Below are 22,243 nucleotides of genomic sequence, written 5' to 3' on the forward strand. Positions count from 1 at the left end.
CAGGTACACCAGTCAGACATAGATTTGGTCTTTTCACATAGTCCCATATTTCTTGGAGGCTTTGTTCGTTTCTTTTTGTTCTTTTTTCTCTAAACTTCCCTTCTCGCTTCATCATGTCATTCATTTCATCTTTCATCACTGGTACCCTTTCTTCCAGTTGATCACATCGGCTCCTGAGGCTTCTGCATTCTTCACATAGTTCTCGAGCCTTGGCTTTCAGCTCCATCAGCTCCTTTAAGCACTTCTCTGTATTGGTTATTCTAGTTATACATTCGTCTAAATTTTTTTCAAAGTTTTTAATTTCTTTGCCTTTGGTTTGAATTTCCTCCTGTAGCTCGTAGTTTGATCGTCTGAAGCCTTTTTCTCTCAACTCGTCAAAGTCATTCTCCGTCCAGCTTTGTTCCGTTGCTGGTGAGGAACTGCGTTCCTTTGGAAGAGGAGAGGTGCTCTGCTTTTTAGAGTTTCCAGTTTTTCTGCTCTGTTTTTTCCCCATCTTTGTGGTTTTATCTACTTTTGGTCTTTGATGATGGTGATGTACAGATGGGTTTTTGGTGTGGATGTCCTTTCTGTTTGTTAGTTTTCCTTCTGACAGACAGGACGCTCTGCTGCAAGTCTGTTGGAGTTTGCTAGAGGTCCACTCCAGACCCTGTTTGCCTGGCTATCCGCAGCGGTGTTTGCAGAACAGCAGTTTATCGTGAACCACAAATGCTGCTGTCTGATCGTTCCTCTGGAAGTTTTGTCTCAGAGGAGTACCCGGCCCAGTGAGGTGTCAGTCTGCCCCTACTGGGGGGTGCCTCCCAGTTAGGCTGCTCAGGGGTCAGGGGTCAGGGACCCACTTGAGGAGGCAGTCTGCCCATTCTCAGATCTCCAGCTGCATGCTGGGAGAACCACTGCTCGCTTCAAAGCTGTCAGACAGGGACATTAAGTCTGCAGAGGTTACTGCTGTCTTTTTGTTTGTCTGTGCCCTGCCCCCAGAGGTGGAGCCTACAGAGGCAGGCAGGCCTCCTTGAGCTGTGGTGGGCTCCACCCAGTTCGAACTTCCAGGCTGCTTTGTTTACCTAAGCAAGCCTGGGCAATGGCGGGCACCCCTCCGTCAGCCTCGCTGCCGCCTTGCAGTTTGATCTCAGACTGCTGTGCTAGCAATCAGCGAGACTCCGTGGGCGTAGGACCCTCTGAGCCATGTGCGGGATATAATCTCCTGGTGCACCATTTTTTAAGCCCGTCGGAAAAGCGCAGTATTCGGGTGGGAGTGACCTGATTTTCCAGGTGCCATCTGTCACCCCTTTCTTTGACTAGGAAAGGGAACTCCCTGACCCCTTGTGCTTCCCTAGTGAGGCAATGCCTCACCCTGCTTTGGCTCACGCATGGTGCGTGCACCCACTAACCTGCGCCCACTGTCTGGCACTCCCTAGTGAGAGGAACCCGGTACCTCAGATGGAAATGCAGAAATCACCCATCTTCTGCGTCGCTCACACTGGGAGCTGTAGACCAGAGCTGTTCCTATTTGGCCATTTTGGTTATTATTATTACATATGTTATTATTATTAATCTTTTTCTACATTATCCCATGTATTATTTTTGTAGGGCTGCCAAAACAAAATACCACAGATTGGGTGGCATAAACAACAGACATTTATTTTCTCACAGTCCTGGAGGCTAGAGGTCCAAGATCAAGGTGCCAGCAGGGTTGGTTCCTTCTGAGGTCCCTGTACATTGCTTGTAGACTACCATCTTCTCTGTGTGATCACATGGTCTTTCCTCTGTTGTGTCTGCGTCCTCATCTCCTCTTTTTTTAAAGACACCAGTCATATTCGATTAAGGAACACCCTAACAACCCCATTCTAACTTCATTGCCCTTTTAAAGACCCTGTCTCCAAATACGTTCTTGTTCTGAAGTACTGGGGGTTAGGGCTTCAACCTATAAATTTTTGGGGGGGACACAATTGAGCCTGTAACATCCCACAACAAAAATATGGTATATTTTTTAAAGTGTAAAATATAAAACAAAAACATACTCATCATGGGTGAGGATGGTGAAGGCCAAAGAGGTCAGTCCAGTTTTTGGAGACCACCCAGCTAATGAAAGCCTCAGACTTGAAGTTAAGGCAGTTCAACTTCTTCCTAATGGTTTTTCTGCCATTCCACAGCTATTTCTATGAATACCTTCTACCTAAGGGAGTTTACAAAATAAGTCATCTTGAATTTATTTTGTTATATGTTTTTCTCAAGAAGAGGAAGGAAAATGAGGGTAGATGGAATGTAGAAGAGAATATGGTTTACTTCCTATTAAGTGGGAGCAGGTATGGAAACCTGACTTTATCTCTCTTCCTGTCTCAACTCCAGAACCAATACCAATGGGGACAGGAAATAAAGCAAAGCCTCAGAGTCCTCCTCCCAAACACAGGAGAGCACCAGGGGCTTTTTTTCTTAGAGACTGTGCCCCTCCTCTGATTACACACCTTCTCTCTACCCTCCATGCATGAAGTTCCCCACTGTTTTCACTCTTCTTTCCTCGTGGCATACATTATGATTTCACTTTTGGTGGCCAATAATAGTTCACTCTCTATATATTTGTTGAGCACTTACTATGAACTGGACACTCTTCTAGATGCTGGGAATGCAACAGTGAACAAAGACAAAAACCCTTGCCTTCAGCTTTGTGCAGTAGCAGTATTATAGCCAGTGAAGTTTATCTGAGGTGATTATTGCTAACTGAAAAACCCCTGCCTTTCAGGAACTATTCTAATTAAGGAAGACAGATGAGAAGAAAAGAAGGAAAACATTTTTTGTGTTAGATGATGTTAAGCACTAGGCAGAATAATAAATTTGGGAAGAGGTAGAGGAAAAATGTAGGTTACAGTATGGGCTAAGTTGTTGTAACAAAGTGTTCCAAATATATAGTAACTTAAATAGAAGTTTATTTCTCATATATGTAAATTTCTTACCATTCGAGGTAAGGGGCATGGTAAGATGTCTGGGGCATCTCTGCTCCAGAGTCATTCAGGGACCTAGGTTCCTTCTCTCATTGCTCTGTTGATCCCTGAGGTCTTCATTTGCATCACTGAAGCTGGATCATTGGCATTTCTGGGGTCTAGCCCAAAGGAAAGCCGTTAGGGGGCAGTACGGGGAGAAAGAAAAGAAAAGTCTAAGGCAACAATTTTCTTTCAGGCAAATGAGGAAGAAGTTACACAAATTAGCTCTCTCACATATCATTACTGAGAACCTAGTCACATGGCCATACCTAGCTGCAAGGGAAGCTGGGAAATGTAGTCTTTATTGGACAGCCTGGTGACCAGAAAGAAGAGAATGGATTGGAGGGGACATGGGAAACTGGCAGTCTATGGCACCTTCCATGTGAAGATAGAGATAGATGGTGACTTATTTTCCTTAATTAATATTCAAAGGAAAATAAATCATTCGCACCAATCTCTTCCTGACATTGAAAACCAAACTGGAGCCAGTTGTTCTTCTCTTCTGGCTTTCCTCAATCCTGCACACCCAGGAATACACATAATCAACCACAAACCCTTTAATGAGCCCAGAACATACCAGAACATGAGGCTAGCATTGTACCAAATGCTGTTTGGGTGCAAATCTAGAATTTTCACAGTATCTGATTCACCCATTGCCTCAGCCTTGGAGACAAGCTTCAGGGGCTAGAGTGTGGAACAGGATAAATAAGCTCATTCAGTCACACTCCCATCCATTCTTCCTTCCATTCGAAGTGCGCTACTGTGTACCAAGTATATTTCCATCATTGTGTCAGGTATGGAGGATACAAAAACAAAAACATAATCCTTTTCTTTAACAAGTTTACAATCTATGGGGAGAGTTGAAAGACAAACCTGCAATTACACAATCATGGGGTAATTGCTGTGATTGGAAAGTACATAAGAGAAGGTGGCAGGAAAGGGGTCCTGGAGGTGACCTCATATGTCATATGAGTAGAGGGTGTGTGTGTGTGTGTGTGTGTGTGTGTGTGTGTGTCAGAAATAAAGGGGAAAGGACATACAGTGAGTTTTCTAGGCAGAAGGAACAGCTTGTGCAAAGGTCAGGAGGGAAGGATGGGGACAGAGACCAAGGTTAGAATTTAGAATGCAAGTTGGAAAATGCCAAGAGATAAAACTTCTGAGAAGCACTCGGACCATATCAAGAAGGGCTTAGAAAGCCATGCAGAAAAGTGTAGCTTGTGTCTGCAGACCAAGGGAGAAGACCATGGAGGGGTGGGAAGAAAATGGAGAGGTGAACCAGAAAGGGACTATTGACCATTGGCCCACAGATACATGAAAGATGCTCAACATCATTAATTAATTGGGGAATACCAATTAAGAGACACTGTTTTCACACATCAGATGGATTACAAATACTGTAAGTTTGATAATACCAGGTGTTTGGTGATAATGCAGGGAAAAGGGAGTTCCAATATTCTGCTGGTACGAGTGTAAATTTCTGTATATTGACCATGTCTTTTGTTTTCTGTATTTTGATGCTTTGACATTTGGGACCTTGGTGACCCTCAAGGGGCTGCGCTTCCCAGAACTAGACAATTCCTAGAAATAGTAGACCACGGCCGGGCGCAGTGGCTCACGCCTGTAATCCCAGCACTTTGGGAGGCCAAGGCAGGCGAATTACGAGGTCAGGAGATCGAGACCATCCTGGCTAACACAGTGAAACCCCATCTCTACCAAAAAATAGAAAAAATTAGCCGGGCATGGTGGCGGGCGCCTGTAGTCCCAGCTACTCAGGAGGCTGAGGCAGGAGAATGGCGTGAACCCGGAAGAGGGAGCATGCAGTGAGCCGAGATGGCGCCACTGTACTCCATCCTGGGCAACAGAGTGAGACTCCGTCTCAAAACACAAAAAAGAAATGGTAGACTACACTCCCCCCCACCCTCCTCTATGAGCTGTCACACTCAGGGCCACTATTCTCCTGCCCTTACCACCCCAGGTCCAGGTACCAGACAACTAGGCACAGCCCCTATGCCCCAGAGTCTGCTGAAACCATTCAAACTGGCCCATCTTAAATCTGTTTACACTGCCTCACCTGTTCCTTCCCATGAAAGTACAATAAAGGCTCTTGTCCATGTTCCCCACCGCACTCTCACTCCTTCTGCCTCTAGACCTACCTGGTGCTTCCCCACGTGGCCCTGCATGGCATGCCATGCCCCCGCCTCTAGGCATCTCTGACTCTTAAAAACTTTTAGCTTCATGACAGTCATTTCTACGTCTGTGTGTCTTAACATACCTAATTAAAACAAATCCCAGGCACTTTTAGAACAGGCCACCACTGGCAAGGAGGGGAGGCCGGGCGCAGGGGCTCATGCCTGTAATCCCAGCACTTTGGGAGGCCAAGGTGGGTGGATCATGAGGTCAAGAGATCAAGACCATCCTGGCCAACATGGTGAAACCCCGACTCTACTAAAAATACAAAAATTAGCTGGGCATGGCGGCACGCGCCTGTAGTCCCAGCTACCTGGGAAGCTGAGGCAGGAGAATTGCTTGAACTCGGGAGGCGGAGGTTGCAGTGAGCCAAGATCTCGCCATTGTACTCCAGCCTGGCGACAGAGCGAGACTCCATCTCAAAAAAAAAAAAACAACAAAAAGAGGGGAAAGTGATCCTGCAATTGCACTGTTCAGCATCTACCCCTAAAGAAACCCTGATGCATTCACTTGGATATTTCGTCTATTAAACAGAGATGATGCCAGTACTTACTTCACACGACCATTGAGGGGAATGGCATTATTCCTTAGGAGCACCTGAAGAGCACCTAGCACATAGTAAGTGCTCAGGAAAGTAGGTCCAAAGATATTCACTGCAGATATTTTTCTAACAATGGAAAATTGGAAACAAGCTGAATGATGGAATGACTAAATAAATTGTGGTCTAGTCATACTAAGGAACACTGTGTAGCCATTAGGAATAAATTAGATTTCCACCTAAGAACAGGAGAGCTCTGTGAAACATTGTTGCTGAGCAAAAGAAGCAAATTGTAGAACACAATGTACAGCAAGATACAATTTATGGAAAGGCAATACCATAGATTTTCTATGGATTTATATTACACAAAAGAAAAAAGTCTGAAATGATTCACAGCAGTGGGGTTACATCCAGGTTAGCATGAGCAGATTGAATTGTTTGGGAGGGGTGGTCAAAAATACTTTAGTTTTATTGCTATGACTTTTATTTTATTATTTGGCGGGTGGTGAGGAGATTATGTAATACTAGGGTAATTAGGAACTAATTTGAAATGCACGAGATGCGAGAAAAAAGATAAAGAGGGTAGAAAGTGGGAATGAACTTGGTGCTTAATGAGATGGAGTTAACTTTGAGAATACCATGAAAAATAGAAATAATAAGATCTGTCTCATAAGGAGTCCTTGGACTGAAGGCTTTCCCTTGGACGAGGAAGGGAGGGATGTGCAATAACGTTAACTGCTAAACTCGTTTGCCATTTTGTTAAAGATCAACCTTGAGCTCCCCTCCAGAGCTTCCCCTTCTCATAGGAGGTGGAATAGGAGCCCCCCCGTCCCTCCATGGAAGTTTCCTCAGCCCACACTATATCCTTCGCTGCGAGTTGGTTGATTTCCTGTGATAATTAGGGCGGGTTAAACTGCCATAACAGATAAGGCAAAACATGTAATGACTCCAATATAATAGAAGTTTCTTTCTCATAGGACAGTCCAGGGTGATAAGGGAGGGGCACGAATGGGGAAGTTGAGGATGAGTGGAGTTGGGGCACAGCAGTCATTCAGGAACCCAGGCAGAAAGCAACTTTGTTCCAGTCAACACATGGTTTCCAAGAGTTTCTGGTGTTTGCAATTTCAGCTGTTTTGTAAGATTTAAAGATGGCTGGACACACCACAAAGGCATTTGGATAGATGAAAGGTAGAATTCTTTGTTACTTATAGCTCCAAACAAGAAAAGACTGCCACACAGGGCCACACAGAGATTGTGCCAGGGCTGTTTGGGTCAGCTTATGTACAGCAAGTGGAATGGGGTTAGCTAGGTTTTATGAACTCCCTGTGGACTGTCTGATTTGAGCAATTTGAGTAATTTCAGGGGGCTGTGGAGCATAGTGGTTACCCCTAGTTTTCTGGTACCTGGGGCAACCAGGGCAGTGGCCCCATATGAGTGCCCAAAACGGGAATTGGTTGAGTGATTGGGGTTGTGGACTCAATCAGCAAATCAAGAAGCAGAACTGACCAGCCTTAAGCCAGGGCCTCAAAACTTGGGTCAAGACAATATTATATTTATATAATATGTATATATGTGTGTATATATAATATATGTTATCTATATTACAGTATATATCTTTTTATATTACATATATTACAGTATATATAATTATCCATTATAGAATATGTAACATATATTACATAATATATAATTATATATTATATAACTACCTATTATATAATATGTAATATAATTAATTATATAAATATATAATAAAATCATATTATATAATCAATTAATTATAATTAATATAAAATGTATAATATATAGCATATTATATATAATTTTGTCTATTATATAATTTTACTTAAAATTAAAATTATATATTTTATATCATTATATATTATATAATGTGATATATAATAATGTATTATATATAAATATCTATTATACATAAATATTTATATAATTAGATATAAATGTATTATTATATGCATATAATTGTTTTCTTTACATCAGCCCATGGGGAGAAAGGCTAAGGCATATATAGGCCAAGCCCCAAAGTGGCCCACATCTATCCTGCCCTCATTCCATTGACCATAATGAGGTCACATGGCCAACTAGTCACATGGTCTCACATAAGTGCAAAATGACCTGAGAAATGTAGTCCCAGGAACAACTGTTCCTAAAGTTGAAGGGAAGCTCAGGTTTCAATGGGCAACTAGCTGACTCTACCAAAGGGCTGTAAATTAATCTACACTCATAATTTATTTGCTTTTTTTTTCTTGCTTTGTTCATATTTGTTTCACCTGCTTACCTGGTACGCTCCTTTAGGGCAAGGACTATGATGTTCTCTTGCTTTTTGCTTTTTCTTCTTGCTTTGTTCATATTTGTTTCACCTGCTTACCTGGTAAGCTCCTTTAGAGCAAGGACTATGATGTTCTCTTGCTTTTGATGCTTTCCCCAGCAATTAATTCTGTATCTGGTGGGGTTCTTAATGGATAATCTTCTCATTAAACAAGCCCCAAGTAATTTCAATAGGCAAAGGTAGTTGCCACTTCAGAGTCGGTGTAAATATCTGATACTTAGAATATGATTTCAGCTAGTTAAATTTATATCACTGGGGTAAAAAACAGCAACAGAAATATTATCTGGGCCTTTCACTTTTTTATTTAATTCTGAATTGGATAAAACATTTCCAATAACTTTAAGCTTTGGCATCTGTATAGCAATATTTGGTTCTTGGATTAAATCAAACAAATATTGCTAATGGGATGGTTCAACGTCATCATCACCTATAGTCATGTTTTCCGTTTCAGTTGACTACCAGGTAAAGGTAAATCAGTGCTCTCAAAAATACTTTCAGTAGTGAATTAAATTTTAAAATGTTATTTTCCTGACCTTTTCCTTTCATCTCATTTTCTGTCACACTGCCTTCATTTTCTATCATACTGCCTTTTTTTTTTTTTTTTTTGGTTTCTTAAAGACTCTTACCTTTAAAATCACTGTCAGCTTGGCATGGACATTTTCTTCAGGAAGGTTAATACTTAATGACACCAAGAAAACGGGTGAGAAGGAAACAAACCTCAGCTATGAAATCACTTACTCAACTTTCATTCAGAATTTATTGAGTGCCTAAAATATGCTGAACATAATGCAAATCCGTAAAAATACAAATAGACATCATCTCAGCCTTAGAGCTCATAGTCATAAACCCAGGCCTATGTTTCTTTTATATACATTTTTAAAATTCAAGCACCTATTCATTCAACAAATATGTATTGAGTTCTACTATGTGCCAGGCACTGCTTTGCATGCTAGAAATATACAACTAAACAAAGCAAAGATTCCTGTCCTCCTGGAGCTTATATACAAGTGGAGAGAGATAGGCAATAATTTATCTCCACTCCCTACATCTCCAATCCAGAAGTGATTTTTTTTAACCTGTGAAGTTCTCTGATATGTTAGCATCTTTCCTTTGGCAACTGCTACTATCTAGCTGGTGTATCCAAGTTGAAAAAGAACAAGGACTGGATCTTAATCTTTATATCTACCACTATGGCTAGGACAGGGTTGATAAATGCTTACTGGCTCAATGAATGAATGAATTTGTCTTTTCCCAAAAGCATAACCAGTGTAGCCAAAGCAAATGAAGACTCACAGGATGCTGAATGGGCTTTTTTAATTTCCATTATCTGAAGGTATACTAGTCCATTTTCATACTGCTATGAAGAAATACCCAAGACTGGGTAATTTATAAAGAAAAGTAGGTTTAATGGACTCACAGTTCCACATGACTGGGGAGGCCTCACAATCATGGTAGAAGGCAAAGGAAGAGCAAGTCATGTCTTACTTGGAGGCAGGCAAGAGGGCGTGCGCAGGGGAACTGCCCTTTATAAAACCAAAAGGTCTCATGAGACTTATTTTCTTTTTCCTTTCGTTTTTTTTTTTGAGACAGAGTTTTGCTCTTGTCACCCAGGCTGGAGTGCAATGGCGTGTTCTTGGCTCACTGCAACCTCCACCTCCCGGGTTCAAGTGATTCTCCTTTCTCCTGCCTCCGCCTCCTGAGTAGGGGTATTACAGGTGCCCGCCACCATGCCCAGCTAATTTTTATATTTTTACTAGGGGCGGGGTTTCACCAGATTGGCCAGGCTGGTCTCAAACTCCTGACCTCAGGTGATCCGCCCGTCTCAGCCTCCCAAAGTGCTGGGATTACAGACGTGAGCCACCGCACCTGGCTGAGACTTATTTTCTATCATGAAAACAGCACGGGAAAACCCGCCTCCATGATTCAATTATCTCTCACTGGGTCCCTCCGATGACACGTGGGGATTATGGGAGCAATAATGCAAGATGAGATTTGGGTGGGGACACAGAACCAAACCATATCAGAGGGCAACAAAGTAACCAGAAGCCAGATGGGATTTGCTTCCACACCCCTACCCTGCCTTCTCCCTGGCTGGTTTGGGGGCTGGGATGGAAGGGCACAGGAGCAGACTACATCTACCATTGTAGATTGCATCACAAGTAAATTTTGCAATGGGCTTTATATCATGATTTTTTATTCTCAAGGGAGAATTTTAATTCTATAGTTATCATAACAGTATGAGAAATATCTGGAAAACTTCAAGGCATGTCTGGGACATTGTGGACAACCCTTTGTGCCTAGGGAGCATGTGTGTTTAGGGATGGATTGCAAGGTGGCTGATAGAAATACGGATGGAACATCTTACTGGGGTTACTCCAAAAAATTTGAACTTTATCAAAAGACAGTGGGAAGCCATCAAATGATTTTTTTTTTAAGTTCCAGGGTACATAGGCAGGTTTGCTGCACCTATCAACCCATCACCTAGGTATTAAGCCCAGCATGCATTAGCTATTTTTCCTAATGCTCTCCCTTCCCCACCACCCCACCCCCGACAGGCCCCAGTGTGTGTTGTTCCCTTCCCTGGGTCCATGTGTTCTCATTGTTCAGCTCCCATGTATAAATGAGAACATGTGGTGTTTGGTTTTCTGTTCCTGTGTTAGTTTGCTGAGGATAATGGCTTCCAGCTCCATCCATGCCCCTGCAAAGGACATGATCTTATTCCTCTTTATAGCCACGTAGTATTCCATGATGTATATGTACCACATAGATGCAGTGATGCTGCAGATACATAGGAATGCTATCAGTTCAACCATTGTGGAAGATGGTGTGGCGATTCCTCAAAGATCTAGAACCAGAAATACCATTTGACCTAGCAATCTCATTACTGGGTGTAAACCCAAAGGAATATAAATCATTCTGTTACAAAGATACATGCATGCATATGTTCATTGCAGCACTATTCACAATAGCAACACGGAATTAACCCAAATGCCCATTAATGATAGACTGCATCAAAGGATTTTGAGTGAGGAAGTGTCATGATCAGTTGAACCAGATACTAGTCTTTTAGGAAGCATGAAGTTTGGATGGGGAAAGAATAGGACAAGAAGACAATCAGGAAGCTTCCCAACCATCCAGGGAAGGGATAATGAAGTGTGAACAAGAGCAATAGCCGCAGCCAAGGGAGGCTCTGAAGAGGGGCAATGTTAAGATCTCAGGGACCCCTATGTGCTGAGGGTGAGGGAAAAAGAGAATGCAAAGATGACGTCAAGACTTAGAGTCTAAGAGACTGAGCTATAAACCTACTAACAAAAGCAGGGAATACAAATAAAAAGGAGATTTTGTGAGGATGGTTATGAATTCAATGTTGGAAATGTTGGGTTTGAGTTGCCAGAAAAAAATCCATATGGAGATACCCAGTAAGCGGTTGGAAACTCAGTCTCACGAGCTTTGTAGAGGGCTCCAAGGAAGAGAAGCAGGTCCCTGAGCTGCTCCAAGACTGTCGGCTAAAGCCACAGAATAGATGCACTTGCTTAAGGAGTGCACGATGAAAAGGGAGGAGGCCCTGGAGAGAACTTTTGGGACCTGTGCTATAGGAAAAGGAAGAAATGGAGGGAGTGAGGGAGGGAGGACAGTCAGTGAAAACAAAAAAAGAGCAGTGGGTCTTAAACTGTAGAGGGTAGAAAAAGTACCCAGAGATGTTAATGCAAACTGTGAGGCCATCCTGAGGCTGTCCCTGGGGAACCAGATTCAGTAGGCCCAGGACGGGGTCTAGGGACATGCAGCTTAAAGCACACACCCGCTTCCTTTTCTATTGATGTAATTACCCCAAAATTCAGCATCTTAAAAAACAAGGAAACATTTTTGATCTCATGGTTTCTATAAATCAGGAATCTGGCTCCAGGCATCTGGCGAGGTTGCAGTCAAGTTGTCGGCTGGGCTGCAGTGATCTGAAGATTTAACTCGGCTAAAGGATCCAAATGAAGATGAGTGTCCTCATAACACGGCATCTGGCTCCCCAGGAGCAAGTGATCCATGAGAGAAAGGCAGAGACCACAAGATCTTTTATGACAAATCCTCATAAGTCACACTTGTCGTGTCTGCAAAATCCTATCGTTTACATAGATGAGCTGAATTCAGTGTGGGAGGAGAGGTCGCAAGGGTGACAGGAGACACAATCAGGAGGCCCACCTTGGAGAATAAACATGTTCTTACACCTCTAGACTGATTTTGACACCAATGGCTCTTGGAGGGCCGGGTGCTGTGGCTCACGTCTGTAATCCCAGCAGGCATGGGATTGTGAGACCAAGGTAGCAGGATGGCTTTAGCCCAGGAGTTTGAGACCAGCCTGGGAAACAGTGAGACCATGTCTCTACAAAAATTTTAAAAGTTAGCTGGGCATGTTGGCATGTGCCTATAGTCCCAGCTACTCAGGGGGCTGAGGCAGGAGGATTGCTTGAGCCTGGGAGGTCAAGGCTACAGTAAGTCATAATCCAACCACTGCACTCCAGTCTGGGCAACAAAGTGAGACTGTTTTTTAAAAAAAGAACCCAAGTGACCCTTGGAGAAACACTGGGTGGAGAGAAGAAAAAGTAAGCAAAGTAAGTCAAGGAAGGAAAGAAATTCAGTCGAATGGAAGGTGGACCTCAGTGCCAAATAGGTCCAAGAAATCAAGATGAGACTGAGAAGAGACCACTGGATTTGGCCTCTAGGACATAGTCTTGACCTTCTAAACTCTAAAACAACACTTCTAGAGAAACACAACTTTTTTAGAAAATGCAACCTATGGTAAGAAATATATTTTACTTCAACACCTGGTACATAGTTCACCCATAGAAACAAACATTTCACGACTTCATATCTACCTCTACTACATGAAAACCACTCATATTTCTTATTCTATTGTAAAGTATTTCTTTTTAAAAAATACTAGCCAAAGTCCACGAAATTAATGTTGTTGATTATTAATGCATCTTGAGCTGAAGTTTGAAAAAACAATGTGAACATGTCTGAATAACAAAGATGATGATGATGACGATAACTACAAGAAGCAAATTTTGAGTGTTTATGCTAGGAGTATACACTATCTGCTAAATGTAATGCTACGAATTATCTCATCCATGACAAACCTATACTTCAGTACTACTATCACAACTTTAGATGAAGAAGTTGAATACTTAAAGAACTTAAGTAAGTTGCCCAAGGTCATATGGTTCAGAGATCAAAACTATAGTTTATTTTAATCTAAGCAATATGACTTCAGAGCTCACATTTTATAACTCTGCTGTCCAATATGGAGGGCACCAGCCACACGTGCCTCTTTTAATTTTAATAAGTTAGAATTAAATAAAATTAAAAGTCTATTTCCTCAGTCATGCCAGCCATATTTCATGTGCTCAGTAACTACCTGTGGGCTCCATATTGGATAGCACAGATACAGCGCATTTCCCTTATCTCAGAAAGTTCTGTTGGACAGTGCTGCCCTAGAGCTAAACTATAAGGGTCATGGGAGATGGAAGTCACCTGAACATAGTTGTAAGGAGAGAGAGAAAAGAAGAAAGAGGAGTCAAAATAGGGGATGCAGGAGACAGCAAGGGCCTGGGGAAGATGGAGGTACAGAATTAGAGTAGGGGGAATGGGCTTTGGCAAGAGACAGGGTCAATTTCCACCCTGTGTCAGAAAGGAGGAGAAAATGGATGAAGACCCAGAGGAAGGGGAAGTTGAGGAAGTTTGCTTTGATGACCTTGATCTTGTTTAAAATGTAGGGGCTGAGAACAGGAGCAAAGAGTGAGTGGGCAAAAGTGTGGACAGGGGCTTGAGTCAGATAGAAAAGATTAGAAATCATCCCTGCACTAGATGCACATATGCAAATAGAGGCACTGACACCTACCACTGACTGGCTTAGCAGTGCGTAGACACTGTGAATTTTTATTTTTTATAGTTTTGTTTTTGGTTTTTTTTTTTTGAGACAGAATCTCATTCTGTCACTTAGGCTGGAGTGCGGTGGTGCAATCTCTGCTCACTGCAATCTCCGCCTCCCGGGTTCAAGCAACTCTCCTGCCTCAGCCTCCCGAATAGCTGGGATTACAGGTGCCTGCCACCATGCCACCAGGTAATTTATGTATTTTTAGTAGAGACGGGGTTTCACCATGTTGGCCAGGCTGGTCTCGAACTACTGACCTCAAGTGATTCTCCCACCTCAGCCTCCCAAAGTGCTGGGATTACAGGCATGAGCCACTGCACCCAACCTTTAGACACTGATTTTTTTTTTTTTTTTTGAGGCAGAGTCTTGCTCTGTCTCCCAGGCTGGAGTGCAGTGGCGCAATCTCGGCTCACTGCAACCTCCGCCTCCTGAGTTCAAGTGATTCTCCCACCTCAGCCTTCCGAGTAGCTGGGACTACAGGCATGTGCCACCACTCTAGCTAATTTTTTCTATTTTTAGTAGAGACAGAGTTTCACCGTGTTAGCCAAGATGGTCTCAATCTCCTGACCTCGTGATCCACCTGCCTCGGCCTCCCAAAGTGCTGGGATTACAGGCATGAGCCACTGTGAATTTTTAGTGCAGTCAATCATTTATTTCATTCATTCAACAAATATTTATCAAGTTCCTGAGTGGGGGTGAAAAAAGCAGGTGAGATCCTTTCTCTCGTGGAACTTACTGGAGGATGACTTGGTTAATCAAATCTTCACAGAACTCTCAAGTGTAGGCCTGCAATGAACACACCCACCAAGGCGAGAAGCTGCTACTCTAAAGGAGCTGTGAGAGTGTATAGTAGAGAATTTAATCTGATCAGGGATGGCTTTGTCTGAACCAAGACTTCAAGAAGGAACCCCATTCCATGCAAAGGGGAGAACAGTTAATGACTCTCACCAGAGGTATGGCCGTGCAGAGACCCAGGTAGGTGGAGGAAGGTGCTTTCAAACGGTTCTTGTGGACAGAAGCAGTTGCTGAATGCACAGACAGGGCCACCCACAGTTTCTGAATTCTACTCCAGCCCCATGTGTGGGTGGCTTTGAGTGAAAAGAACACTATGAGTTGCCCACTGAAAATTCTTTCATAGTATAATAAATCTGCTGGATGCAGAGGCTAGAATTTAAGTGGGCTGAGGGTGCCCTACCCTACCTAACATCAGCAAAGGATTCACAATGCACAGCATATTACAATATATGCACAGTTAGCCATCACAGGAAACCATCCATCACCAGAATTCTATTGCAGTGCTATCTTCCCTCACTTCTATCTTTCTGAAAAACAAATTTCCTTTAAGGTTGAAAACTTCATGCTCAATTTTAGCAAAAACCGAAAACATTTTAAAAATGGAACTTTAAAAGCCTCACACATTTTTTTAAAGTTTCAACAAAGCACGTTCTTTAAAATTAAAAATAAAATTATTCAATGTAATGCCTATGTGATGCTGAGGATGAAGGAACTCCAAAGTGGATACGTTATTAAGCGAGACTATTTCCTCAAGTTTCCACTGGGTCAATGTCTTCCTGTGTTTTAACATTACAAACTATTTGTAATAACATTTCAAAAATCAGCAACTTTATCACACCGTTTTGTGTTTCTGTGTCAGTTTTGAGTGATCCAGTAACTGCAGCTCAGTCCTGTTATCTCCCTGTGGAATTGAACTCACTGTCAACTCTAAGCATACTTATTTCGAGTTCTTCCTTTCTTCATAAGAATTGGTTAATTATCATCTCCTGCTTTTAATTGCATGAAGTTTACAAATGTGAAAAACATTAAAATCCTAAGGTGCAGCAAAACTAGAAGTGTTTAAAATACTCTTATGCTGTCCAGGCTACACGTGATTTTCTCTGGCTATAATTATGCAGTCCTAGCAAGAAGGCCATCCGGTGTGAGGTTGGGGTGAGGGACCAGGATCTGATCCTGACTCCCCTGCCGACTAATTTCGTGATCTTGAGCAATTCCCTCTTAGAAAGAACAGTTGGCCCAGAAAGAACAGTTCCTATTTCACATAGTTGTGGTAGGGTTTGCACATAAAGCACTTAGAGCCATGATCTAACACCCGCTCAATATGTATCTGCCACCATTTTTATACATATAACCTCTCATACTCATGGAATATTTGCATTGTGGGTAAGTGATTGTTTCCATGGTAACAACTTTCCTATTTCTAGGCCCTTATCCCACTATTTTCTTTTTTTAAAAAAGAAGTTTATAGGCTGCAGTTTTCATTCTTAGCACTACATTAACATGAGTTTTTCACTTATTGCCCTGGGTGTTTGCATACTTTTTTTTTTTTTTTTCACTGTTTTGCAGGTCTGATATTTTTAACCAGTCCATATCTCATAGGCTCATGTAGAGAGTGGTCCTGTACTGTATTCTCAGATACTGTTACTTAGGGGAATGTTTTCCTGTGTAGTGAGGAAAAAGTGGAGGTGGGGCATAAAAGAACAGAAATCCTGTGAAATTGTACTGCAAAACTGATTTTTGAAAATTAATAATTGCCGCATATGGTAGCTCATGCTTGTAATCCAAGCACTTTGGGAGGCTGAGGCAGGTAGATCACTTGAGCCTGGGAGTTTGAGAGCAGGCTGGACACCATGGTGAAACCCTGTCTCTACAAAAAATACAACAATTAGCCAGGCATGGTGCTGCATGCCTGTAGTCCTAGCTACTCAAGAGGCTGAGGTGGGAGAATCACTTGAGCCTGGGAGGTCGAAGCTGCAGTGAGATCACACCACTGCATTCCCGCCTGGTGACAGAGTGAGACTCTGTCTAAAAAAAAAAAGAGAGAGAGAGAGAGAAAGAAAACTGGCCAGGCACGGTGGCTCATGCCTGTAACCCCAGCACTTTGGAAGGTCAAGGTGGGCAGATCACATGAGGTCAGGAGTTCGAGACCAGCCTGGCCAACATGGTGAAAACCCATCTCTACTAAAAATACAAAAATTACCTGGGCATGGTGGTGCACGCCTATAGTCCCAGTTTCTTGGGAGGCTGAGGCAGGAGAATCACTTGGACCCGGGAGGCAGAGGTTGCAGTGAGCCAAGATTGCGCCACTGCACTCCAGCCTGGGCGACAGAGTGAGACTCTGTCTCAAAAACAAAACAAAACAAAAAGGAAATTAATAATTTACCCTATCATCCAGCCATTAAGGAAAAAAAGAACTTTCCACATAAATATTATCCTCTTAGTAAAGGTGGTTTCAAAGCAATACATTTATATAGAATAAAAATTACCTAAATATTAAAAGCTTGTGCTTACTACATGAATATTGGGGAACCTCAATTAATCTACAGCAGCTCTGTCCAAAGGACATGTACTGTGATATCTATTGTATATGCACATGTGCAATTTTTATTAGGAGCCACTTTAATATAAGTAACAAGAAACATGAAATTAATCTCAGTAATACATTTAATCTAGCCTAATGGGTTCAAAATACTATCATCTCAGCATGTAACCAATATAAAAAAAAGTATTGAGATATTTTACATTTTTTCATACTGCTTTTGAGATCCAGTGTGTATTTTATACTTACAGCACACATCAATTCAAATTATTCATGCTCAAGGGCACCTACCATGTATGAGTACGGGCTGCCATATTAGACAGAGTAGCTATAGCTTTTTTCTCCCATTTGACCCATCCCAGAATTAGATGCTCTGCTAAGACATCGAATTGGAAGTCACCACAACAGCTAACAATCTGTTCTGAGGAAGGGCGTGGAACGCATTTCAATTCCACAGATGAATTTGAATTGTGGGGTCAGAGCACATTCTGCCATATTTGCCAAGTCTCCAACAAATTAGGAGGTCCAGGTCTTCATTTGGCAGAAGGCTCACATTCTAAGGCATCCAGCAAAATACATTGAGGATTTTTTTCTGCCAAATAAAAATGATTGTTCTTAGTATCAAGGGAATGTTTGGCAGTGTAGCATTTGCAAAACATCTCCTTCGTCTGCCCCAGGAAAGAGCTGACTTTAGCTTCCAGCCTGGGATCCTCTGAGGGGTCTCCATAACAGGCTACAGATGCAGGTGAGGAAGATTTCCTTGGCTCTGTGACGATGTGCTAAGGCTTGGAGCTTCCCCACCAGGACCCTCAAAGGAAGAGGTTTCTCTTTCAAGTTTTGGTGGTTTACTCCAGACATTCTATTTGCTGTTCTGTGTAGGGGTCACTTGTTATTATAACTTCTTTTACCAAATTTCCAAGATTGTTGTCTTCAAGATCACCTAGACTGGAGATCTGCTATCACTGCCACTTGGGTTAGAAACCCTCCTTCTCCATATCAAAGCATCCCCATGACATGAACCCTCAAACTCTGACCTGTTCCTCCAATCCATTCCTTCCTGTCCCCTGGCTATTGCCCTGGTTTGCGTTTCCTTATTGCCCACCCAGACTGCTGAACCAGCCTACTAATTGATCATCCACGCTGCTGCCAGGGTGAGCTTTCTAAAATCTAGATCCCATTGGGTTTCTTTCCTGGTTTCAAGAGTTTTATTGACTTCTCCCTGTGATCTATACAGTGGATTTCAACCCTCATAAAAAAGGATTGAAACAGAAGAACCCCAAATTTTTTCAGTGAAGTGTTATCAGGAGCTCCAAGATATAAAACAGATAAAGTCTAAGCTGCCCTGGGTAAAGCAAGGACAGAGGCCTCAGAGCCTGCCCTAAAGTCCTCCAGCCCTGCCCCTCTGGGCCCAACACAGCTCTGAGGAATCCCGGAACTCTTCCGGACACAGCTGGGATGCTGCAGCCCAGCGGGAGGATGTCTATGCTTCCTGGCTTGGCATAGCAGGCCCTCCAGAATCTGCCCCAGCCTACCTTTCTGGCCTCATCACCTGCCACTTCACTGCACACACTCTCCATGCCCCTGCTACACAAATCACACAACCCCAATGTGCCAGGCATTCGAGGCTCCACACTGCAGTCCATGCAGCTTCCTCGGCCTGGTGTCTTCCTGCTCATCCCTGTCTGGACAATCCTAACTGTCCTTCCAGGTTTCACTCCAGTGTCATCCTGTATGGAGCCCTCTCTTATAAACAATTCAGACAGAGCACACCCCCACCTTCCCCTGGGAAATCTGTTAAGGTGAACTGTTTAACCACTTAAAACATCTGCTACCCAGACCTGTTTCTCATAGCAATATCATCTTTCTAATCCTGGCCCAGATTATCAATAAATGTGTGTGACATTATGAAGTGAAGACTGTGTCCTTTATTCCATCGTCAGCAGAGGTGAGTGAGCCATACACAATTCCCTGAGGAATCCTGAGAACCTTCAGAGGAAGCAAGAGGCCAAAGAGCCCCGAACTGGAAATCTGAGCCCTTGGGTTCTCATTCTGACTCCATCCCAAACTAAGTCTTTAAATTCAGCTCTACGCTGCCATGGTTTTAGTGCTCTTGGCATAATGATAATGATGATTCTAATGGCTAATATTTATAAGGCAGCTACCACATGCAGACAGACACTGCTCTAAGCATTTTTCATGGATTAACTCATTTTTGCTTTACAGAACAAAGGCTGAAGCATTTACTAGATTGAACCCTTTCTCCAGCTGCATTTGGGACTGAAAGAGACTTTACAGGGATGAGGAAAGGTGAAATGACTGCTCAGGTGACTCAGCTGCTAGCAGAACTGGCTGGTGGCAGGTCTCCTGGCTTTCAGGTGAGTATACTTTCACCCACATAACACTGCTCTATGGGAGTAGCCTGGGTATTGACCTGTCCCTGCAAAATGTTTTACAAAGCATCAACAGAGAGATATGACACTCAGCTATCAGCACAACTCAATACATGAAAAAAATTTCCTAACTTCAAAAGTTAAATGATTCCATTCAAATTTGGTTTACTTTTTAAATTACCATCTAGTAAGGACTATATTCACATAAAATAATTTATTTAACAAGGATACAAATGGTGCCAATAAAATCTAGGGTAGAAAAACTTCTTATCCCCAGCTATAGACATGCTGGTGAGATCCTAACCAGGCAGAGTGGCTCCTTCCACTGTAGTTAAGGCTGCTACCACGTGGCTTCAAGGACATGGTGTCCATGACCCTCTGCTGTACATCAGATCATAATTCTCTTAAAAGCATGGCTCAATTTAAAGTGTATTCCCCGAGAGGCAGGCAGCACGCTATCATGGAAAGAGAAGTAAATCTGAAGTCAAAACTCCTGCCATTGACCAAGTGACCCTGGGGAAATCAGTTAATATGGCCAAGTCCCAGATTTGTCCAGTGGAAAATATTATCAAGGCTATTGGTCCTTCCTAGCTGGGGTTGCTGTGATGCTTCAAGGAGACGTGAATGAAGAGGACTGGTGTGGGTAAATACTCATTTTTCTTCTTTAAGGAATGGTCATACTTGGAGAATGCTATCCAGAACTGTTTCCTCATTGCAACCCTGCCTTAGTCTCTTCCAGATGCTATTAACAAAATACCACAGATTGGGTGGCATATAAATGAATGAAATTTATTTCTCACCATTTTGAAGGCTAAGAAGTCCAAGATCAAGACATCAGATTTGGTGTCTGGTGAGGATCCTCTCCCTGGTTCAGAGATGGCCATCTTTTCACTGTGTCCTCGCGTGACAGAAGGGATGAGGGATTACTCTGGGGCTCCTTTTATAAGGGCACTAATCCCATTGATGAGGGCTCCACCCATATGACCTAATCACCTCCTAATACTATCACCTTGAGGGTTAGAATTTTAACATATGAATTTGGGGGAAACACAAACCTTCAGACCACAGCAACCCCAGAGAAGAGAAATGACTTAGCCAAGATCCACAGTATGATGTGGACACGACAGAGCTTGGAGTCTCCCCTTTCTAGCACTCTATCCTTTACTTAAACTATTTTAGGATTACATTAATTTCATTCTTTTCTTAAGCTAGGAATCTGCAGAAATATTTGTAAATTCATATATTACTTTAAGTCTTAACACTTTGTTTTTGAGACAAAGTCTCACTCTTGCCCAGGCTGGGGTGCAGTGACACAATCATGGCTCACTGCAGCCTCAAATTCCTGGGCTCAAGCAATCCTTCTACCTCAGCTTCCAGAGTAGCTGGCACTACAAATGCACCCACCATGTCCAGCTAATTTTTAAAATTTTTATATAGAAGCAGGATCTCTCTATGTTGCCCAGACTGGTCTAAGTCCTGGGCTCAAGGAATCCTCCTGCCTTGCCTTCCCAACATGCTAGGATTACAGGCATGAGCCACCACCCAGCCCAACCCTTAAAACTTTTAACTGACGCTTAGCATGGCACCAAAATAATATTTATTGAATGTATTCTGGTGCCAACCTCTGGATGCATAATTTCATCTGACCCTCACAACAGTCCTGCAATGCCCATATGATGAGGCCCCACTTCCCATTCCACCTTGCTGGAACTGGAGGTCAGGGAAACTTAGGGAATTTGCCCAAGAGCCCATGAGTGAAGAGTGGTAGAGGAGATTCAAATTCTTTTTCTCTACCAGATCCAGTGCTTTTCCCATTAGCCAAGGGTGCCTCAACAAGGAACGAGAATCCCACAAAATTGGAGGAAAAGGGAAAAAAAAATGTGATTTCAACATGGTGTTCACTAATGCTATTGCAGAAATGTGCACGCAGCATTCACATTTTGACAAAAGCAGTAATTACCATATTAGGAAATAGAGTCGTCTTCTACCTTTTCTAAAAATCTTAAAAAGTAAACATTAAAGCATACTTTGGGCTTGCTAACTTAAAAGGCAAATGGGTGGTGTCGCGTCCACAGCCGTTCTATTTGACCACATTGCAGAGGTACACACGTGCAGGACGGTGATTCTGCAGCTAAGGGTACCTCCTCCCTGAGACTGCACCCCGGCCCTTCTCCCCACCCCTTCCATTCTGAGGGTGACGCCTTCACCTGGGCTCTCTTAAAATCCTGCTGTTTGTGTGCAAATGCGAGTTCAAATTTCTCCCTGAAACACTGGTGGGGGACACTATGCACCCTCAGCTTTAAATGTCACCCTGATTTCCTACATATTCCCTCCTCCAACATACAACCCCTCTCTCCCCCACCCGACCCCCACCACCCCCATCCCCAGCCTCCTGTCCTTCCCATTCCAGGTGCTCCGGGTGCTAGCAAAGCTGGGGTGGGCGGCGCCGGGCAAGGTCTGAAGACTGCGAGGACCCAGCTGCCAGGCGCATTGTGAAGTGGCCCGAGCGTCACAGGCGACCCGGACCTCGGGACCGGGGGGCAGGGCGGGTG

General features: G+C 43.0%; 1 long non-coding RNA gene and 1 pseudogene across 1 annotated transcript; one reads left to right on the forward strand and one right to left on the reverse strand.

The window, feature by feature from the left end:
• Positions 1–1,642: 1,642 nt before the first annotated feature.
• LOC105373025 (uncharacterized) lies at positions 1,643–22,015 on the reverse strand. The gene is made up of 5 exons (XR_922645.2): positions 21,486–22,015; positions 20,492–20,582; positions 2,946–3,091; positions 2,016–2,170; positions 1,643–1,786 (listed from the first exon to the last, which is right to left on the reverse strand). It is a non-coding gene; the product is annotated as an uncharacterized LOC105373025 (long non-coding RNA).
• Positions 2,654–2,788, forward strand: RNU4-57P (RNA, U4 small nuclear 57, pseudogene; annotated as a pseudogene).
• Positions 22,016–22,243: the final 228 nt, after the last annotated feature.

Source organism: Homo sapiens, chromosome 1 (assembly GCF_000001405.40).
Source record: "Homo sapiens chromosome 1, GRCh38.p14 Primary Assembly".
NCBI classification, from domain to species: Eukaryota; Metazoa; Chordata; class Mammalia; order Primates; family Hominidae; genus Homo; species Homo sapiens.